Consider the following 21,575-nt stretch of genomic DNA (forward strand, 5'->3'; position numbering starts at 1 on the left):
GGGGATAAGCGGTGGAGTTAAGAGCAGTGTTTTGGGGGCAGGAGGTGGATCTCATAAAGTACATTCTCAAGGGTGAGGAGAATTACAAAGAAACTTCTTAAGGGTGGGGGAGATTATAAAGAACCTTCTTAAGAGTGGGGCAGATTACAAAGTACATTGATCAGGAAGCAAAGTCTATAGGGAGCTATATAATAGAGGCTGCAGATTCATGGCAGATTCTAAAGCACAGCAGTCCCCAACATTTTTGGCACCAGGGACCGGCTTTGTGGAAGACAATTTTTCCACAGGCGGCATGGGATGGGGCGCAGGATGGTAATGGTCTTGGGATGAAACTGTTCCACCACAAATCATCAGGAATTAGATTCTCATAAGGAATATGCAACCTGGATCCCTCGTGTGTGCAATTCACAACAGGGTTCATGCTCCTGTAAGAATCTAATGATGCTGCTGATCTGACAGGAGGCAGAGCTCAGGCAGCAATGCAAGCAATGGGGAGCAGCCAGAAATACAGACGAAGCTTCAATTGTTACCCACCATTCACCTTCTGCTCTGTGGCCCAGTTCCTAACAGGCCACAGACCAGTACATGTCCATGGCCCAGGGGTCAGGGACCCCTGCTGTGGCACATTGCTTAATAGAGGACTGTAGCAGCCATGTGCCCTGACCTTTCCTTTTTTTTTTTTTTTTTTTGAGATGCCAGAAACCCAGAATTTTTTTTTTTTTTTTTTTTTTTAAAGTCAAGGTCTGGCTCTGTTGCCCAGGTTGGAGTGTAGGAGGGCGATCTCAGCTCACTGCAGCCTCAACCTCCCTGGGCTCAGGTGATCCTCCCACCTCAGCCTCCCAAGTAGCTGGGACCACAGGTGCACATCACTGTACCCAGCTAATTTTTGTATTTTTTTTTAAGGGATGGAATTTCACCATGTTGCCTTGGTGGGTCTTGAACTCCTGGGCTCAAGGGATTCACCCACCTAAGCCTCCCACAGTGTTGGGATTATAGGTATGGGCCACCATGCCTGACCCTAGAGACTATTTTTAATACTAGTTTTAGGTTCTCAGAAAAATGGAGAAGATAGAGATTTCCCATATCCCTCTGACCCCATACATGCATAAGCTCCCCATGATCAATATCCCCCCCCAAAGTTGTACATTTGTTAGAACTGATGAACCTATGTTGACATTATCGTCATTGGATTCTCATTATCATCCAAAGTCCATATTTTACATTAGGGTTCACTCTTGGTGCTTTACATTCTATGGGTTCAGACAAGTATATAATAACATGTATTCACCATTATAGTATCATATGGAGTATTTTCACTGCCCTAAAAATCCTTCCGGGCTTTGCCTGTTCATTCCTCTCTTACTCCTAATTCCTGGCAACCACTGATACTTTTGCCTTTTCTAGAATATCATATATTTAGAATCATACAGTAGATAGCCTTTTCAGATAGACTTCTTTCACTTAGTAATATGCACTTAAGTTTTCTCCAGGTCTTTTTTTGGCTTGATAGCTCATTTCTTTTTAGTGCTGAATCATATTTCATTATCTTAATGAACCACAGTTTATTTAGCCATTCACCTACAGAAGGACATTTGGTTGCTTCCAAGTTTTGGCAATTATGGATAAAGCTGCTATCAACATCCATATACAGGTTTTCATGTAGACGTAAGTTTTCAACTCCTTTGTGTAAATACCAAAGAGTGTGTTTGCTGGGTTATATGGCAAAAACATGTTTGCTTTTGTAAGAAACCAACAAAATGTCTTCCAAAGTGGCTGTATGATTTTGCATTCCCACCAGCTGTCACTGCTAATTGGGCAGACCTCCTTTAGAGATGCCGCCAAAGATAGTGTAATGCTCTTCACTGTAGGCATTTATGATCTATACAAGAATAACAGTGGATTCTGGGTCAGTGCCTTTATTTTATCCTGCCAAGTTCAAGAGAAAGGTTTTTTCTTATTCTAAGAGAAGACTGTTATGGTAAAGTAAAAGGAAGAAATATATAATTACTCTTCTATTGAGGAGGGAGAAGAAGGACACACTGTGATGTAAATGGCAGAAATTCAATAATTTAATTCAAACTAAAGAGAACGGGAATGTATTGAATTCAGGAATGGAATGTAACGGGAAACTCCACTGGTGGTCTTCAGGCATGGCTGAATCCCGTGTCTCCAATGATATCTTCAGGAATATGTTCCTCCCATCCCTCAGCTCTGTGTTCCTTGGTGTGGTCTTTACTTTTTCCACTTGGTAATATGAATGTCCTCCAATATCCTCCCCTACTGCCAGAGATACCAAGAAAGGAGAGCTTCTCTGATAGTTCCATCAAAACTCCCAGGGATGACTCTGATTGGTCAGCCTGCATCACATGCCAATTTTCTCGGTCAAGGAAGTGGGACCATGTGATTGACATGAGTATAAGACAATCTGTTCCTGAAAGAAAAGGGTGCTGGGGGAAAAGGCAACAGATGTCCACCACAGCATGTTTTTTCACTTTACTGGTTATTATCTCTTTTTAGACTCCCTCAGCACTGGACAGCTGAGACCACGAAGGACTTGGGACCCTTTCTAGTACTTTTCTCAGGAGATGAATTAAGCTCTATAGCCACAAAGGTAATGTTGTGCTCCATCTTAAGAAGGCTGAAGGAGTTTGAAGGGGAGAGAAAGTGTGGTCAGTTATACAGCATTGGGTTTACTGCTGTCTATGGTTCTGGAAGCTTCCTCCCTGCCTCCAAGGGCTAAGATGTTTCCAGCTCCATTCCAGGATGTGCAAGGTTCTGGAAAAGGGAGTGAGTCCACAGCTAAATGAACTCAGGCCCTTTTGTGTGGCCCCCCAGGCAGATGTGTGCAGACAGATATTACTTAGCTACCACTCTGCTATTAGTGTACATCTCACACGCATGCCTGTTCTGGCTCTCACACTGGCTGGTGCCCTATGCACATGCACATGTATGTCCAGTGTATGCAATCACATGTGCAAGCACATTTAATCCAATAACAAGTCTTTATTCATCATTACATTTGGGCATGACACTTTTCTAGGAGTAAGGCCCCAGAAGTTAGACAGTCTAGGCCAAGGGTCCTGCAAAATAAGCATGAGTTAGTCATTTGTGCTGCATAACAAAGCCACACAATCTCAAGGGCATAGAACAATTCGCATATGTTTCTTGCTGCCTGATTTGTGGGTCACTGGGGCAGCCCTGCTCTAGAACTTGTTTTTCTCACCATGAAGGTGTGAAACTACCAAAAAAGGGAAGGGATAAGTACAATTCTCCTTAAGTCCTAGGTTGGAAATTGGCACACTATCACTTCTGCCACACTCCAATGGCCAAAGTAAGTTACATGACCAAGACCAACTTTAATGGGGCAGGAAGGAGTCTCCTTCCATGGAGGTGGAGGGCAGGAAAGGAGTGAATGTTTGCTGAATGACAATCAGATCCCCCACAAAGCACATCCACACACTCTCATACCTGCACTTGCAGGCACAAGGTACACATGGTCACACATGCTCAGCAGGGCCTGAACACACACAACTTCACCTAGGATCACACGCAGCACACATTCTGAAGTCCAGTCACAGTAAAATCATATTCTGGATGTCTGAATATATAGTTATAAGCAGTTGATGCACACATGTTTATTTTTATTTTATTATTTTATTTTATTTTGCGATGGAGTCTCCCTCTGTTGCCCAGGCTGGAGTGTAGTGATGCAATCTCGGCTCACTGCAACCTCTGCTTCCTGGGTTCAAGTGATTCTCCTGCCTCAGCCTCCCGAGTAGCTGGGATTACAGGCCCCTGCCACTATGCCCAGCTAATTTTTATATTTTTAGTAGATATGGGGCTTCACCACGTTGGCCAGCCTGGTCTTGAACTCCTGACCTCAAGTGATCTGCCCGCCTCGGCCTCCCAAGTGCTGGGATTACACGCGTGAGCCACCATGCCCGGCCCTGATGCACAAATGTTATATATCCATCTATTTTTTTTCCTTCCTTGTTTTTCTTATGTTTAGATGTTTATTATTATTTTTATTTTTCCATAAGGTATTGGGGTACAGGTGGTGTTTGGTTACAAGAGTAAGTTCTTTAGTGGTGATTTGTGAGATTTTGGTGCACCCATCACCTGAGCAGTATACACTGCAACATATTTGTAGTCTTTTATCCCTTGGCCCCTCCCACTCTTCCATCCAAGTCCCCAAAGTCCATTGTATCATTCTTATGCCTTTGGGTCCTCATAGTTTAGCTCCCACATATCAGTGAGAACATCCATATATCTATCTAATCTTAAAAAAATCAACTTCTGAAATTGAAAAAGTCTTGTATCAACACTGTGAAATCTCAAAAACACAGTGTAGAGTTAAAAAAAAACCCAGATTGCAAAAGAATATCTATGGTAGGATACAAAGTAAATAAATAAATAGTAGCTGAATTAATTGAAAGCAAATGTAAGCCAAGTTTATATGTAAGAGAAGTGTAAAAGTGAATGCCAAATTCAGAGTGACAGTTACTTCTGGGGAAGGAGGAAGGCAAAGAGTGAAGGAGGGACTTATTATTTATATTGTGATGTTTTATTTCTTAAGTTGGGTTGTGAGGACATGGGTGTTTTGTTGTATTATTCTGTATACTCTTTTTTTAAATACTGGAAATGTTTAATAAAGCAAGTAATACATGCTCCTGGTTAACAAATCCCAATCGCACCAAAGGTAATAGGATGAGAAGCAAGTCTCCCTCCCACCCCAGACTTCTAGTTCCCTAGCCTCCCTCTTCAGAGGCAATTGCTGTCCCCAATCTCTTCTGCATCCTTTCAGAAATATCCTGAATATCTATATAACAAGTTTTATATAGGTATAAAAATACCTATATAACAAGCCTCGCCAACATGGCGAAACCCTGTCTCTACTAAAAACACAAGAGCATATACACACTCTTCTTTAGAAAATACAAAATGGAAAATGCCATTCACTCCGCTATGCATATTGCTTTCTAAAAGTTAACTGTCTTAGAGTGGTTGCCTTCAGCCTCAGCTGCACATTAGAATCACCTGGGGAGATTCCAAGAGGGACCAATCCATGGTATCCAGCCCAGCCCGACTGAGTGAGAATCTTTAGGGGCTGGCTCTGGGTGTCCCAGGTGACTCTTAGGTACAGCCAGGGTTGAGAACTGCTGGCCTAGACTGTGACTCTAATTCTGAAGATGAGACTAGAAAGGGGAGCTACATAGGCTGAGAGGCTTGCTCTCTGGGTGAGCCGGGACCCAGTGAGGCATAGCTGTTTGTAGAGCCTGATGGATTATCTGGGCCCATGGGCAGGCCTTCTAATAAAATCCCAAGTCTTGACAAAGTGTATTCGTTCTAGATGAGAAATGGCACTTTCTCCAAGGCAACCCAAAGTCCCCTAAGTCCCCTCATTGCTAGTCTCCACCCAGGATGTTGAGACAACCCTTCTTCACCTCCTTTTCATGACAAATGTTGTGTTAGGCAATTCTTTTTTTCTTTCTCTTTTTTGAGATGGAGTCTAGCTCTGTTGCCCAGGACAGAATGCAGTGGCATGATTTCGGCTCACTGCAACCTCCGCCTCCTGGGTTCAAGTGATTCTCCTGCCTCAGCCTCCTGAGTAGCAGGGATTACAGGCATACATCACCACGCCGAGTGAATTTTTGTATTTTTTGTAGAAATGGGGTTTCACCGTGTTGGCCAGGCTGGTCTTGAACCCTTGACCTCAGGTGATCTGCCTGCTTGGGCCTCCCAAGTGCTAGGATTACAGGTGTGAGCCACCGCACCTGACCTGTGTTAGGCAATTCTTGCATTGCTATAAAGAAATACCTGAGACTGGGTAATTTATAAAGAAAGGAGGTTTACATGGAATACTATGTGGCCATAAAAAAGAATGAGATCGTGTTCTTTGCAGGGACATGGATGGAGCTGGAGGCCATCATCCTTAGCAAACTAATGCAGAAACAGAAAACCAAATACCGCATGTTCTTACTTATAAGTGGGAGCTAAATGATGAGAACACGTTGTCACATAGAATGGAACAGCAGATACTGGGGCCTATTGGAGAGTGAAGGGTGGGAGGAGGGAGAAGATCAGCAAAAATAACTAATGGGTACTAGGCTTAATACCTGGGTGATTAAATAATTTGTACAACAAACCTCCATGACACAAGCTTACCTATATAACAAACCTGCCATGTACCCCTGAACTTAAAATAAAAGTTAAATTAAAAAAAATAAAATGAAAAGGGCCAGGTGCAGTGGCTCATGCCTGCAATCCCAGCAGTTTGGGAGGCCGAGGCGGGCAGATCACGAGGTCAGGAGATTGAGACCATCCTGGCTAAGAGGGTGAAACCCCGTCTCTACTAAAAAAACACAAAAAATTAGCTGGGCGTGGTGGTGGGCGCATGTAGTCCCAGCTACTCGGGAGGCTGAGGTAGGAGAACGGCGTGAACCCAGGGGGCGGAGCTTGCAGTGAGCCGAGATCGTGCCCCCCACTCCACCCTGGGTGATAGAGCGAGACTCCGTCTAAACAGACAAACAAACACTGCCAGGCACAGTGGCTCACATCTGTAATCCCAGCACTTTGGGAGGCCGAGGTGGGCGAATCACTTGAGGCCAGGAGTTTGAGACCAGCCAGGCCAAGATAGTGAAACCTTGTCTACAATAAAAATAAAAAAAAAATTAGCCTGGCTTGGTGCTGCATGCATGTAATCCCAGCTACTCAGGAGGCTCAGGCACGAGAATTACTTGAGCCTGGGAGGTGGAGGTTGCAGTGAGTGGAGATCACACCACTGTATTCCAGCTTGAGCAACAGAACAAGACTCTGAAAAAAAAAAAAAAAGAGACAAGAAAAGAGGATTGATTGGCTCGTGGCTCTGCCGACTGTACAGGAAGCATGATGCTGGCATCTGCCCAGCTTCTGGGAAGGCCTCAAGAAACTTACAATCATGGCGGAAGGCGAAGGGGGAGCAGACACATCTTACTTGGCCGACACAGGAGCAAGAGCGTGATGGGGGAGGTGCTACATGCATTTAAACAACAAGATCTCGAGAGAACGCACGCACTATTGTGAGGACAGTACCAAGGGGATTGTATTTAACCATTCATGAGAAATCTGCCCCCATGATCCAATCACCTCTCACTGGGCCCCACCTCCAACACTGGGGATTACATTTCAATAAGATTTGGGTGGGGTACACATCCAAACTATATCAAATATAAAGTTTAGTAAAAACTTAGAAATAGCACCAAACCAAAAAAGGGGTAGGTACACATACATTTTTTTTTGTTTTTTTCTGAGACAGGGTTTTACTCCCATCACCCAGGCTGGAGTGCAGTGGCATGCTCTCGACTCACTACAACCTCAGCCTTCTGGGCTCGGGTGATCCTTCTGTCTCAGCCTCCTAAGTAGCTGGGATGACAGGCTCATGCCACCACGCCTGGCTAATTTCTGTATTTTTAGTGGAGATGGGGTTTCACCATGTTGGCCAGGCCAGTCTTGAGCTCCTGACCTCAAGTGATTTGCCTGCATCGACCTCCCAAAATGCTGGGATTACAAGTATGAGCCACCACACCTGGCCTAACCTAAATTTTTTTGTCGATATTACCAGATTGCTCTGCTAATAGTGCACAGTTTGACAGTCCCACGGAAAAATGAATGTGCCCAGCATTAAGTATTAGCACTTTATTTTATTTTTGACAATCTGATGGGTGAAAAGTGATTTACTTATGTTTTTTAGACTTTATTGGATTTTTATTGAAGTTGAGTATCATTTTATAGGATTCTTTATAGAGACCACATTAGTGGGACTAGGGAATAGATTTATATGAGAAGTTGCTATAACAAAGAATGAAGGCAGTAAGTAGTGTGACAGTTTCAACTCTAATTTCAATCTGTATTTAAGGGGTTTTAATTATTATTCCTCTTCTTTCATCTTCTTTCACACAGTTTCCTGAGATCCTTCTGCAAGCAGCTTCCAAGATGGCCAGGACCCTGCCCCCTAAATAATTCCTCTGGGCTGTCTTTCAGTCTGTTCGGAACAGCAGTGATAAGATCCCCAGCTCTGACCCTATGCCTGGTGAGTGTTTCCAGGGTATCTGAGCCACTGTTGGCATAGTAATTAATGTTTTGGGCAGGGTCCCTAACATCAAGAGGCCTCCTTATGCAGGGAACTGGATGAAATGTCTGCAAAGCAATAGAATGACAAAATCTATAAGCAAAAGAATTACACTTTTGGTTCAGGTGCGATTGCTCAAGCCTGTAATCCTAGCACTTTGTGAGGTTGAGGCAGGCAGATCACTTGAGGTCAGGAGTTCGAGACCAGCCTGGCCAACATGGCGAAACCCTGTCTCTACTAGAAACACAAAAATTAGCCGGGTGTGGTGGTGCACACCTGTAGTCCCAGCTACTCAGGAGGCTGAGACACGAGGATTGCTTGAACCCAGGAGGTGAAGGTTGCAGTGAGCTGAGATGGCACCACTGCACTCCAGCCTGGGTGACAGCGAGACTCTGTCTCAAAAAAAAAAGAGTTACACTTTTGTAAAGTGACCTGGAATCATGTCCCATACTCCATATCCAGGCTAGTAGGTTTAATGCGTGAATATGTGTAACAAACATTTCAGTAGGATTGACTTAGAGGACCAACATGGATTAGTGGTTTAACATAGCAGTGACAGGGCCGGGCTGGCTAGATTTCACTCCTGAGTCTGCCACTTACTGGCTGTGTGGCTTTGGGTAAGCTCTTTAACCTCTGTGTGCCTCAGTTTTCATCCTTTATCAAATGGGGATAATGAAAGTCTCTACCTCACTGGGTTATTGTGAGAATTAATGGGTTTAAACCCAGAAACATGTTTACCGGAATGCCTGGCATGTAGCAGATCTTTAATAAGTATTATATATTTTTAAAATTTGATTTTTTTTATTTTTTGAGATGGAGTCTTGCTGGAGTGTCACCCAGGCTGGAGTATAGTGGCATGATCTCGGCCCACTGCAACCTCCACCTCCCAGATTACAGCAACTCTCCTGCCTCAGCCTCCTGACTAGCTGGGATTATAGGCATGTGCCACCACACCTGGCTAAGTTTTGTATTATTAGTAAAGACGGGGTTTCACAATGTTGGCCAGGCTGGTCTTGAACGCTGGCCTCAGGTGATCCACCTGCCTTGGCCTCCCGAAATACTGGGATTACAGGCGTGAGCCACTGCCCCCGGCCTAAAATTTGATTTTATAGAGGCAGGGCCTCGCTCTGCCACCCAGGCTGGAGTGCAGCAATCATGGTTCACTACAGCCTCGACCTCCTGGACTCAAGGGATCCTCCCACCTCAGCTTCACAAGTAGTTGGGACTACAGGCATGAACCACCACATCTGGATAATTTTTTATTTTTTTGTAGAGATAGGGTCTTACTGTGTTGCCCAGGCTGATCTTGAACTCTGAGCCTCAAGTGATCCTCCTGCCTTGGTCTCCCATAGTGCTGGGATTATAGATGTGAGCTACCATGCCTGTCCAAGTGTTAGATATTTTATTATTATTACCATGCACCTACTAAGTACAGACTGGGGCCAGGCATGAGGAGACAAAGTTAATCACCCCCAGTGATAGTAGTTGACAGTCAGTGCTTGCTTTCATCCACCCAACAAATATTCATTAAGCACCAATTTTGTAAATAAAGAGCTTACTTTCAAATGGAGGGTAGCAAGACAATAAATTTCCATACATAAGTAAAATATATGGTATATTGTATGAAAAGTGCCAAGAAGGAAAATAAAGCAAGGGAATGCACCACGAGTGTTGAGAGGGGACTGTCATGTGAAAAGAGAATCATGAAGGAACATCTTATTGAGAAGGTGACATTTGAATGAAGACCCAAGGGAGAGTGGGCCATGTGGATATTTTCAATTAGAGTCTTCCAGGCAGAGAGTGCAACAGGACCACTTCCATGAGTGGGAGGTAAGGGCCAGTGTGTTTGGAGGGGAGTGAGAGACAAGGCCAGCCATGTAGTGACTGTTAAAGGAAACCCTAATGACTTTGGCTTTTACTCTGGGTGGAGGCATCGTGTGACATCGAGCAAAGAAGTATCACAATTGGATTTGTGTCTACCTTGGGTGATTATCCCTCCATGCATTATCTTGTTCTCCCGTTTTTTTTTTTCTTGGTGAATGTGGGGTTTTATTGGGTAATGGAGGTGGCTCTCGGTGGGATGGATGGGGAGCTAGAAAGGGGATGGAGTGGGAAGATGATCTTCCCCTGGAGTTTGGCTGTCCTGTGACCAATCTCCTCTCCAACTGTCCCCAGCCAAACTCTTCTTGGCCTTCAGATGCTCCTTTCTCTGCCATGCTGCTCTTCTGCTCCTCTTCTCTTCTGTTCATCTGCTCATCTGCTTGTATGCTCATGGAGCCTGGGGTTTGGGGTTTATATGGGTACAGGATAGTGGGATGTGGCAGGCCAAAACCTAACATTTGGGCATGAAAACAGGAATGCCTATTCCCATTTAGGGCTGCAGATTTCCAGGCTTGGGTGTTCTCTTGTTTTTTAAATGAAGGAAACTGGGGCTTAGGAGACTAAGGGACTTGTCTAAAGTCACAGAGTTAGTAAATGGCAGTTCTTGGATTTGTACCCAAAGTTGGTGGTGACCACCACTGGCTCCCACTGCCCTCAAGGTCTAGCAGTCCATGTCATCATATTGCAGAGCTCTTACTGTGTGCATGTGGTACACAAAATAAGGCTTTCTATGCTCAGGGGAAGGAAGCTCTGGTATCAGTGCATAGTTTGAGTGTTCTTTAGTTGGTTCTGGGTATTAATTGCTGCTGTGCTTTAGTGATTGATGGATTAGCAGAATTACCGCTTGGTTTTATATTAATTTGTGTGTGTGTGTTCACTCACTCCACAGATATTTGCTGAACACCTACGATGTACCAGGCTCTATTCTAAGCCCTGGACAGACACAGTGATAAGACCAAGTTCCTGATATACTAGTCAACCATTCTGCCCTCTCTAGTTCTGTGCTATCACTGATGTTGTTTTCACTAGAGGGTGGGCTGGGGGTTGGCCTAGGGAGGGATGGGTCTTTAGTCCTCTCCAAGTGGCTTATGATAAAGATGTTTGAGGACCACAACTGGCATCTTTGATCTGGTCTACTTTTGCCTCGTGATTGGAATGCAGTGAATTTCCATTGAAGGTGCAATGAGAAGAGAGAGGCCATGGGACTCGGGAAATACCCTGGCCTTGGGTGGGGTTGGTGCATCTGTCAGCATCAGTGGTGGTCTGCGGCTAAGATAAGAAATCCAGGGTTGCTCTTAAGGATCCTAGAGTTTTCTCCCAGGTTGGGCACATCAGATCCAGCAAAGACAATATCTCACTTGCATGTTGGTTGGTAGCTGGTTTGAGTAGGTAAGGTTCACATTATTCAAAGACCGAAATGGATGTTTTTCCTGTTGCCAAGAGAAATGCAATAGGCTCATTTCTCTTTTCTCTTGGGATGGGAAAGCCACAACCCCCACTATGATTTTCATGGACAGCAACTCATCTTCCTGGTTTTTATTTTTTATTTTATTTTGACACAGGGTCTCACCGTTACCCAGGCTGGAGAATAGGTGTGATCACGGCTCACTGCAATCTTGACCTCCCAGGCTCAGGTGATCCTCCCACCTCAGCCTGCTGGGTAGCTGGGACTACAGGCATGTGCCACCATGCCTAGCTAATATTTTGTAGTTTTTTTTTTTTTAGAGGTGAGGTCTTACCATGCTGCCCAGGCTGGTCTTGAATTCCTGGGCTCAAGTGATCCTTCTGCCTTGGCCTCCCAAAGTGCTGGGATTAAAGACATGCGCCACCGCACAGCCCATCTTCCCATTTTTATAGGAAGGCTGCTGCATAATTTTGGAATCTTTATGCTGGGCTGCAAACTCAAAGGCATAGGGGGTAAGATAGGCAACAGAAATTGTGTATCGAGTGCTTACTGTATGCGTGGCACTGTTCTAAGTGCTTTACATATAACACATTTAGTTTTCACAACCATCCTATGAGGCGATTTTATTTCCATTTTATAGACAAGAAAACTGAAATACAGAGAGGTTAAATAGCCTTGGATTTGAATCGAAAGTCAGGACTGTTCACCACCAGCTCTTACTGCCCTCAAGGAATTTGTAGTTTAATTGTAATGTTGCACCGCTCCTAGTTTGTGCATGTGGATGTGCAAAAAGCTGGCATTTCCATGACTTTGTTACCCAGTAATTAGCAAGAAATGGCAGAAGTGGGATTCAAACTGGTCCCTGCCTCCTGCTCTCTGCTTTTACTCTGTAGTCCCTTCCATGCATAAATCTGACTGGCAAAGAATGTTACTCATTTCAATACACTAACATTTCCTGAAATTCTCTTTCCTCTTCTCCTTCCCTGCATCTCTCCTTTCTTCAGGTTGCCATGGAGTCGTGGCCCCCTCTTCTGATGACATCTTCAAGTTGGCCGAAGCCAACGCCTGCTGGGCCCTGGAGGACCTGCGGTGCATGGAGGAAGACACATTCATCAGGACCGTGGAACTGCTGGGAGCTGTCCAGGGTTTCAGCCGGCCTCAGCTGATGACCCTGAAGGAGAAAGCAATACAGGTGAAGCCCACCTCAGGGAGGAAACATTAAACAGAGGAAAAAAGAAAAACACCAAAACCAGTTCAGCATTTCTGCACATAGAACCCTCCTCGAGCAGTTTTCCCATACATCATCTTGAAATTTTACTGCATCAGCTCAGTGATATTGTGATCTCCTTATCTGAGAAAGGAGGAAATTTCCAGTTCCTCCCTCTTAGGGCTGTGGCAGAGAATGGGATGAGATGTGTCTTGGCATCTAGCAGATGCTCAGTGAATCAAGTTCTGTGGATGTCCCAGTGCCTCTGACCAAGGCGGTTTGCAGGAATTAGGCTTTATTCCTTCACCTGGAGAGCCCCAGCTGCTGCTCACAGCAGGTTTTCTCAGAATCATTTGCAAATTTGTCTGAAAATATAACAGAAAGGAGTAAAAAGAGGACTGGAAGTAGCTTTCCATCTTTAAAAAGGTCCCTTTGTTGGCTGGGTGCAGTGGCTTATGCCTGTAATCCCAACACTTTGGGAGGCCGAGGCGGGCGGATCACGGGAGGTCAGGAGTTCGAGACCAGGCTGGCCAACATGGTGAAACCCTGTCTCTACTCAAAATGCAAACATTAGCCAGGCGTGGTGTCATGTGCCTGTAGTTCCAGCTACTCAGGAGGCTGAGGCAGGAGAATGGCTTGAACCCGGGAGGTGGAGGTTGCAGTAAGCCAAGATTGCGCCAGTGCACTCTAGCCTAGGCGTCAGAGCTGATACCTTGTCTCAAAAATAAATAAAAATAGGCTGGGTGCAGTGGCTCATGCCTATAATCCCAGCACTTTGGGAGGCGGATCACGAGGTCAAGAGATCGAGACCAGCCTGGCCAACATGGTGAAACCCCATCTCTACAGGTGGCATGCACCTGTAGTTCCAGCTACTCGGGAGGCTGAGGCAGGAGAATTGCTTGAACCCGGGAGGCGGAGGCTGCCATGAGCCGAGATTGCGTCACTACACTCCAGCCTGGTGATAGAGCGAGACTCTGTCTCAAATAAATAAATAAAAGGAAAAGGTCCCTTTGTGGCCTGTTTTAGCTTTTCTTTCTTTTTTTTTTCTTTTTCTTTTAAGACAGAGTCTTGCTCTGTCGTACAGGCTGGAGGGCAGCAGCGCGATCTGTGGTTCACTGCAAACTCTGCCTCCCGGGTTCAAGTGATTCTTGTGTCTCAGCCACCTGAGTAGCTGGGACTACAGGCACAAGCCACCATGCCTGGCTAATAATTGTATTTTAGTAGAGACGGGGTTTGTTTGGCCAGGCTTGTCTCAAACCCCTAGCCTCAAGAGATCTGCTCACCTTGGCCTCCCACAGTGCTGGGATTACAGGCATGAGCCACTGCACCCAGCCCTGTTTTAGCTCTTTACATGGTTGTGGAATATCTAGTTACCCTCAAGGGTTAAACAATTCAATGTCTTAAAATTATAAATATAACTGTATTTATGTATTATATGAGTACTTCAAGTTTATTGTAGAAAAGTCAGAAAATAATAAAGAAGAAAATCAGTGATAATCTTTTACTCACTGTTGATATTTTGATAAGCACTGTTCAGCAGATAAGCACTGTTGATATTTTGGTATATTCACTTGAAGCTTACCAGACTCCAAAACTATGTATATAAAAAATATTATTTTATATATTTCATACATATATCTCATGTTTTACAAAAATGATATTATACTTACCTACTATTCAATAACTTGCTTTCTACACCCAACAGTACAGACTGCATATTTTTTCATATCCAAAATGTACATCTATGTCAGTATTTTATTTATTTATTTATTTTTTGAGATGGAGTTTTGTTCTTGTTGCCCAGGCTGGAGTACAATAGTGTGGTCTTGGCTTACTGCAACTTCTGCCTCCCAGGTTCAAGCAATTCTCCTGCCTCATCCTCCCAAGTAGCTGAGATTACAGGCATCCGCCACCATGCCCGGCTAATTTTTGTATTTTTAGTAGAGATGGGGTTTCACAATGTTGGCCAGGCTGGTCTCGAACTCCTGACCTCAAGTGATCTGTCTGCCTGGCCTCCCAAAGTGTTGGGATTACAGGCGTAAGCCACAGCATCTAGCCTATATCAGTATTTTAAATAGCTTTGTAATACAATTAGCCTTCCATATCAGTGGGTTCCACATCTGCAGATTCAACCAACCTCAGGTAGAATGTATTTAGAAAAAATGATCCAAATAACAATATAACAATAAAAAACAATACACATAAAAATACAGTAGCATTTTTGACATAACATTTTGTACATATTTACATAGCACTTATATTGCATCAGGTATTATAACTAATCTAGAGATGATTTAAAGTATACATGAGGATGTGCATAGATTATATGCAAATACTACACTATTTTATATAAGGGACTTGAATATCCATGGATTTTGGTATCTTTAAGAAGTCCTGGAACCAATCCTTGGTGGAGGTATCCACAGGGGCAACTTCATTTTATTTATGGTTAGTTCTTATTTATTTAGCTAATTGTTAGACTTTCATGTTGCATTAAAAAAATGCCTCAATGTATGCCTTTATACATATACTGTTGGGTACTTGTCTCATTTACTCAGGCTAAATTCCCAGAGGTGGAATTTCTGGGTCAAAGAATATAAATACTTTAAAAGCTTTTGATACAGATAGCCAAATTGCCCTCTCAAGAGTATGTACCAACTTATATTCTCAACTACAACAAATGAGGGTATCCCTTACCTTGTATCTTTCCAGTATCGTAAATGGTGATAAGTCTTTATACTTCTTGACATGTGATGAATCAACATGGTCTGATTGTTTTTAATGTATATTTCTTTAATTATGACTGAGAATAAAGTTTTCCCCATACATTTAATTTTTCTTTTGTGAATTCCTTGTTGATGTCTTTTGTCTATCTTTTTTTTAAAACAAATATAGTCATCTTTTTATTATTGATTTAAAAGAGAGCTTTATATTAAGATTTACCCTATGTCTTTTTAATTTTTATTTATTTTTTATTAAGGGATAGTTGACAAATACAAATTATATATATTTATGGTGTATACATATATACAATATGATGTTTTGATGTATGTATACATTGGGGAATGGTTAAAGCAAGCTAACATGTCAATCACCTTTCATACTTGTCCGTTGTCAGTTTTTGTTGTGAGAATATTTAACATCTACTCTCTTCACAATTTTCAACCGTTCAACACATTATTATCAACTGTGGTCACCATGCTGCACAATAGGTTTCCCTATGTCTGTTTTATTTTTATTTCTTTGAGACAGGGTCTCGCTCTGTCACCCAGGCTGGAGTACAGTGGCACCATCTTGGCTAACTGCAACTTCTGCAAGTGAGTCTTGTGCCTCAGCCACCCAAGTGGCTGGGATTACAGATGTGCGCCACCATGCACAGCTAATTTTTTTTTTTTTGTATTTTTAGTAGAGGCAGGGTTTCGTTATGTTGGCCAGGCTGGTCTTGAACTCCTGGCCTCATGTGATCTGCATGCCTTGGCCTCCAAAAATGCTGAGATTCCAAGTGTGAGCCACCGCACCTAGCCTCCTTATGTCTATTTTAGATACTGCCTTTGTCCATTCAGGCTGCTATAACAAAATATCATAGACTGGTAACTTATAAACAGAAATTTATTTCTCACAGTTCTGGGGGGTGAGAAATCAAAAATTGAAGCACTGGCAGATCCAGTATCTGGTAAGGACTTGTTTTTCATAGATGGTGCTTTCTCACTGTGTCCTCACATGGTGGAAAGGGACTAGCTTGTAGCTAGCTCTCTGGGGTCTCTTTTACAAGGGCACTAATCCCACTCATGAGGGCTCCACCCTTATGACCTAATCATCTCCCAAGGCCCAACCTTCCAATACTATCACATTGGAGATTAGGTTTTAACATATGCATTTTAGAGGGGCACAAACATTCAAATCATTGTAAATACCATCACAGTGTTCAGTCTAATCTATTTTCTTTTTTTGCCTAAAGGTTTGGGACATGCCATCTTACTGGAGAGAACACCATATCGTCTCCCTGGGGCGCATTGCTCTGGCTCTTAATGAGAGTGAGCTGGAGCAGCTGGACCTCAGCTCCATAGACACTGTGGCTTCCCTAAGCTGGCAAACAGAATGGACCCCGGGACAGGTGGGTGGATGTTTCTGGGTCTTTTAACTATTCCATATTTATAAGAGCTGCCTTCATATCCTTACTGTTAATTTCCTCATGATGGTCATTTTTGAGTCTGTTTCTGTTGACTGATTTTTCTCTTAGTTATGAGTCATATTTTCTTTTTTTGTTTGCAAGCCTAGCAATTTTGATTGGGTGATGAGCATTGTGGATTTTACATTGTTGAGTATTTGATTTAGTTGTATTTCTTTGAAGAGTATTGGGCTTTGTTCTGTCATACACTTAAGTTACTTTCAAATCAGCTTGATCCTTTTGATGCTTCCTTTTGAGTTTTGTTAGGGTAAAACCAGAGTGACCTTTATTCTGTTGTTAATTTATCATCATTACTGTGACATGATTCCTTTGAGGATGTTACCTAATGCTCCATGTATTTCAAGATCTCTCTACTTTGGCTGGTGAGAATGTGAACTATTTCCAGCTCCATATGAGCTCTGGAAGTTGCTCAGCCTAATCCTTTCTGATTACTGATGACTCTTTTCCTGCCTATGTGGAGTTTCACTCTTTGCATGTGCAAAATAGCAGTCAGTACTAGACATCTCTGCAGCTTTCTGGAACCCTCTGCAGTTTCCTCCTCTCCAATACTTTGCCCAAGTGATAAGTGCCGTGGCCTCTCTGAACTTGGATATCTGTATCCTCAACTCAGCTGGGCCACTGGGCTTGTTTTGGTTCCTCTTCCTGATCCATGTCTTGGAAACTGCTTTTTGGCAGTAAGTGAGGGTAATTTTAAGGCTCATCTTGTTTGTTTTTCTTCTTCTGGGATTATGATTCTGTTGTTCCATATCCGGATGCAGTTGTCTGATGTATTTTGTTAAATTTTCTAGTTGTTTATGGTGGGTGGCCAATTCCTATGTTAATTAATCCTTCATGGGCTAAAGAAGAAGTTCTTCCCAGAATTTTAATTGTTTTGATTGGGAGAGGAGTTTAGGGTGTCTAATCCACTGTACTGCTGGAAAGGGAAGTGTTAGCCCTTCCATGTTATCTTCGTTCTTAGGCAGCTCTCTCAGTGGTCATTTTCAGCACTAGGCTTATATACAACCTAATTAACAAGCCCATAAAAATGTGCCTCTTCTTTATTAGTTTTTGGAAAAGCCTCAGCATTGACTCCACTCATGTAGTTGCCCGCCCCTGAGCAACCACTCTGGTCAGGGGTTGAATATGTTGGTTGGCGAGGCCTGCATCAGGGAGCGGAGTCCATCTTATCAGCATCTCATGACCACATGAGCCGAGTGGGGAAGGATATGTGGTGGGCTGATTAAGGTCCCCCAAAGATGTCCATGTCTGAACCCCTGGAAGCTGTGACTATGTTAACTTATGGAGCAAAAGGGACTTTGAAGATGCGATTAAGGATCTTGAGATGAGGAGGTTATCTTGGATTATTTGGGTGGGCCCAATGTAATCACAAGGGTCCTTTTAAGAAGGAGCAAGGAGGGTCATAGATAGAGAAGGTGACATGATAATGGAAGCAGAGGGACCTAGAAAGAGATCTGAAGGTGCTCTGCTGCTGATTTTGGAGATGGAGGATGGGGCTATGAGCCAAGGAAATGCAGGTGGCCTCTTGAAGCTAGAAAAAGCAAGAAAATGAATTCTTCTTAGAACTCCCAGAAGGAACCCATCCTTCTAGTCCATTTTAGGACATACAGTCTCCAGAACTATAAGAGAATAAACGTGTAGTTTTAAAGCCACTATGTTTGGGGTAATTTGGTAGAGTAGCAATAGGAAGCTAATGGAGGGTAATTTTCCAAAGAAAAAGTGTGGACGCTGAGCAGCCAAAACCAATGAATGTCCCCCTACTCTTTTGAGCTTTTTGTAATCACGGTGGCCATGTTTCATAACTCTGAGTGGCACCATTCAAACAGAATACACTGTGAATGGTGCACCCCTAGAGCTGGGCAACATGCAGATCCTGGCCATGAAGATTACATGAGTTAATACTTGAAAACATTTTGAACAATGTCTGGTACATAGTAGTCAATAAAAATTAGCTGTTTTTATGTTGATATTGACATCATTGCATTGTCATCATCAACATTATCATCATTACAGCCCCTTTCTCTGGGTTAGTCTCCTCCTTTGCAAGATGAGAGGGTTAGCCCCAACAATCTGAGGTTCCTTCCAGTCTGATATTCTATAATCCCATGGTTCTTTGACTCTAAAACTGGTTTTGACTAGTTTGAGAAGTGCCACATCACACTGTGCTATTAAAATCATTCTATTTGCAGGCTCGGAGAAACAGAAAAATACATCCAGAAACTAGGGTATCTCCTTCCCTTCGCACCGATTTTAATTCTCATGGATGGCAGTGAGATTTATCAATATGTTTGAAGAGGATATGAAAACCTAACATTTGCATGTATCATTTGTAGTCAGTTCTTCAACTTTAGCTCCCAATCAACCTTAAATGCAGGTTTCTAGATTAATAGTCAGACCTGACGGAACTACATTAACAGATAGTTCAGCTCAAAAACCAATATAAGGGAAAAAACTATTATAGAAGCCAGAGGGATGAACAGAGAGATTGAAATCTTAAAGCTATTCATTTTTCAACAGTTAATATTGCCTAAAAGTGTTGGTATTAATTGTCTTGGAATCATTACATATACACTGGTCTCGTCACTCAAGGAAATTTATTTTAACTTATCACCTTGCAGGCTGAGCTTGCATTTTCCGGGTTTCAGTGGCAAGGACAATTTAATACCATATCTTCAAAGTAATTTTATTTAAATTGTATTTTTGCACTTTCATTTTAAAGTGAGCATGCCTGATAGTTGAGGAGCCCAAATTGCTCTGAGTCAACTAGTGAAACCTGATTATGAAGACTTAATAAGAAAAATTTGAAAACTAACTTGAATCTCCATCTTTTCTCCATAGCCAAACACCTTCACTGGCTAAGAGTATGGGCCCTGGAATCAGACTGCCTGGGTTTTGATCCTAGAACCATCATTTTCTTTTCTCTTTCTTCTTCTTCTTTTTTTTTTTTAGAATGAGTTTTGCTCTTGTTGCCCAGGCTGGAGTGTAATCTCCACTCACTGCAACCTCTGCCTCCCGGGTTCAAGCAATTCTCCTGCCTCAGCCTCCTGAGTAACTGGGATTACAGGCATGCATCATCACACCCTGCTTATTTTGTATTTTTAGTAGAGACGGGGTTTCTCCATGTTGGTCAGGCTGGTCTCCAACTCCCGACCTCAGGTGATCTGCCCGCCTTTGTCTCCCAAAGTGCTGGGATTACGGGCAGGAGCTACGGCGCCTGGCCAGAACGATCATTTTCTAGCTGTGTGATCTTGGCCTAGTTACTTAACCTCTCCTTGCCTCAGTTTGCTCATCTGCAAACTAGGGATACTATTAATACTTACCTCATAGTGTTATTTAGGAGGATTAGATGAGATAGTATGTGTAAAGTGGTCAAAGTGGTGCCAGCACACAGTATGCACTCAAGAAATGTTAGCTACAATAAATGTTAGCTATTACCACTTTGGATATACAGTCCCATTAAGTCAAAGACATATAAGTCTAAGCATGGTGTTACTGCATCCCCCGCCCCCATAGTAGCTGTGAGCTTTGTAATCATGGAGGACAACTTGATGAGGACACTGACCAGTCCGATTTTCAGAAACATGAGAAATCTTCCTGAAGCCAGTCTATTACATGAAGGCAGCAAAATGAAGCGTGTCAAATAATATATATTGCCCACGACTTTTGTAAGTCACTCACTCAGATGTTGTTTCATTCATTCATTCATTCACTCATTCATTTACTTACTCAAGAAGTACTTATTGAACTCCTACTCTGTGGCAGGCATTATGCTAGGTGCTGGGGACTCATTGGTAAACTACCTGGATATGGTCCTTTTCTTTTGGGAGCCTACTTGGTGATACAGACAAAAAAGTGAGTAATCAAAGTGAAAAATTTGAAAAATCACGATAAGTGATGCGGAAAATGGACAAGGTGCTCATGGGAATAGTGGGAAGAAGGGCTGTTTGAGATGAAAGAGTCCAGAGGGCAGTTTTCTCTGAGTAGGTAGCATTTAAACACACCTGAGGGGTGGGAAGCACCAGCCCATGAAGACGGAATTTCATTGCAACATTTCACAATCTTCCTCAACACTTTCTCTCAACACCTTAATGATCTATATTGTGTGATGGGGATGACTAACATTAAACGGAGATGGGGGCCGGGCATGGTGGCTCATGCCTGTGATCCCAGCACTTTGGGAGGCTGAGGTGGGTAGATCACTTGAGGCCAGGAGTTTGAGACCAGCCTGGCCAAAATGGTGAAACCCTGTCTCTACTAAAAACACAAAAAATTAGTTGGGTGTGGTGGCGGGCGCCTGTAATCCCAGCTACTTGGGAGTCAGAGGCATAAGAATTACTTGAACCCTGGGGGATGGAGGTTGCAGTAAGCCAAGATCATGTCACTGCACTCCAGCCTGGGTGACACAGTGAGACGCTGTCTCAAAAAAAAAAACAAAAAAAAGCAAAGAGAGTTGGGAAGATTGACTATAGCCTGTGATTTTCGCTTCCACTTAGGGGTCTCTCCTTGGATGTCTCCTCATCTTTGCCTTGTGAGGTCTTATAATCTCTTTTACTTGCTCCCATGAGCACTGAAGGAACCAGACTTTATTTTGTGAGACAGAGTCTCCCTCTGTCACCCAGGCTGGAGTGCAGTGGCACAATCTTGGATCACTGCAACTTCCACCTCCCAGGCTCAAGCAATCCTCCCACCTCAGCCTCCCAAGTAGCTGGGACCACAGGCACGTGCCACCATGCCTGGCTAATTTTTGTATTTTTTGGTAGAGACAAGCTTTCACCATGTCAGCCAGGCT

General features: G+C 43.3%; 1 pseudogene across 1 annotated transcript in view; it reads left to right on the forward strand.

Annotated features, from left to right (window-relative positions):
- Positions 1-1,252: 1,252 nt before the first annotated feature.
- The window catches only part of OTOAP1 (OTOA pseudogene 1), a 31,168-nt pseudogene continuing 10,845 nt past the window's right edge, over positions 1,253-21,575 (forward strand). Inside the window, exons 1-4 of the transcript NR_003676.3 lie at positions 1,253-2,611; positions 7,939-8,068; positions 12,398-12,585; positions 16,559-16,714. The product of NR_003676.3 is annotated as an OTOA pseudogene 1 (transcript). The remainder of the gene's footprint in view (positions 2,612-7,938; positions 8,069-12,397; positions 12,586-16,558; positions 16,715-21,575) is intronic.

This window comes from Homo sapiens, chromosome 16 (genome assembly GCF_000001405.40).
Source record: "Homo sapiens chromosome 16, GRCh38.p14 Primary Assembly".
In the NCBI taxonomy this organism is placed as follows: domain Eukaryota; kingdom Metazoa; phylum Chordata; class Mammalia; order Primates; family Hominidae; genus Homo; species Homo sapiens.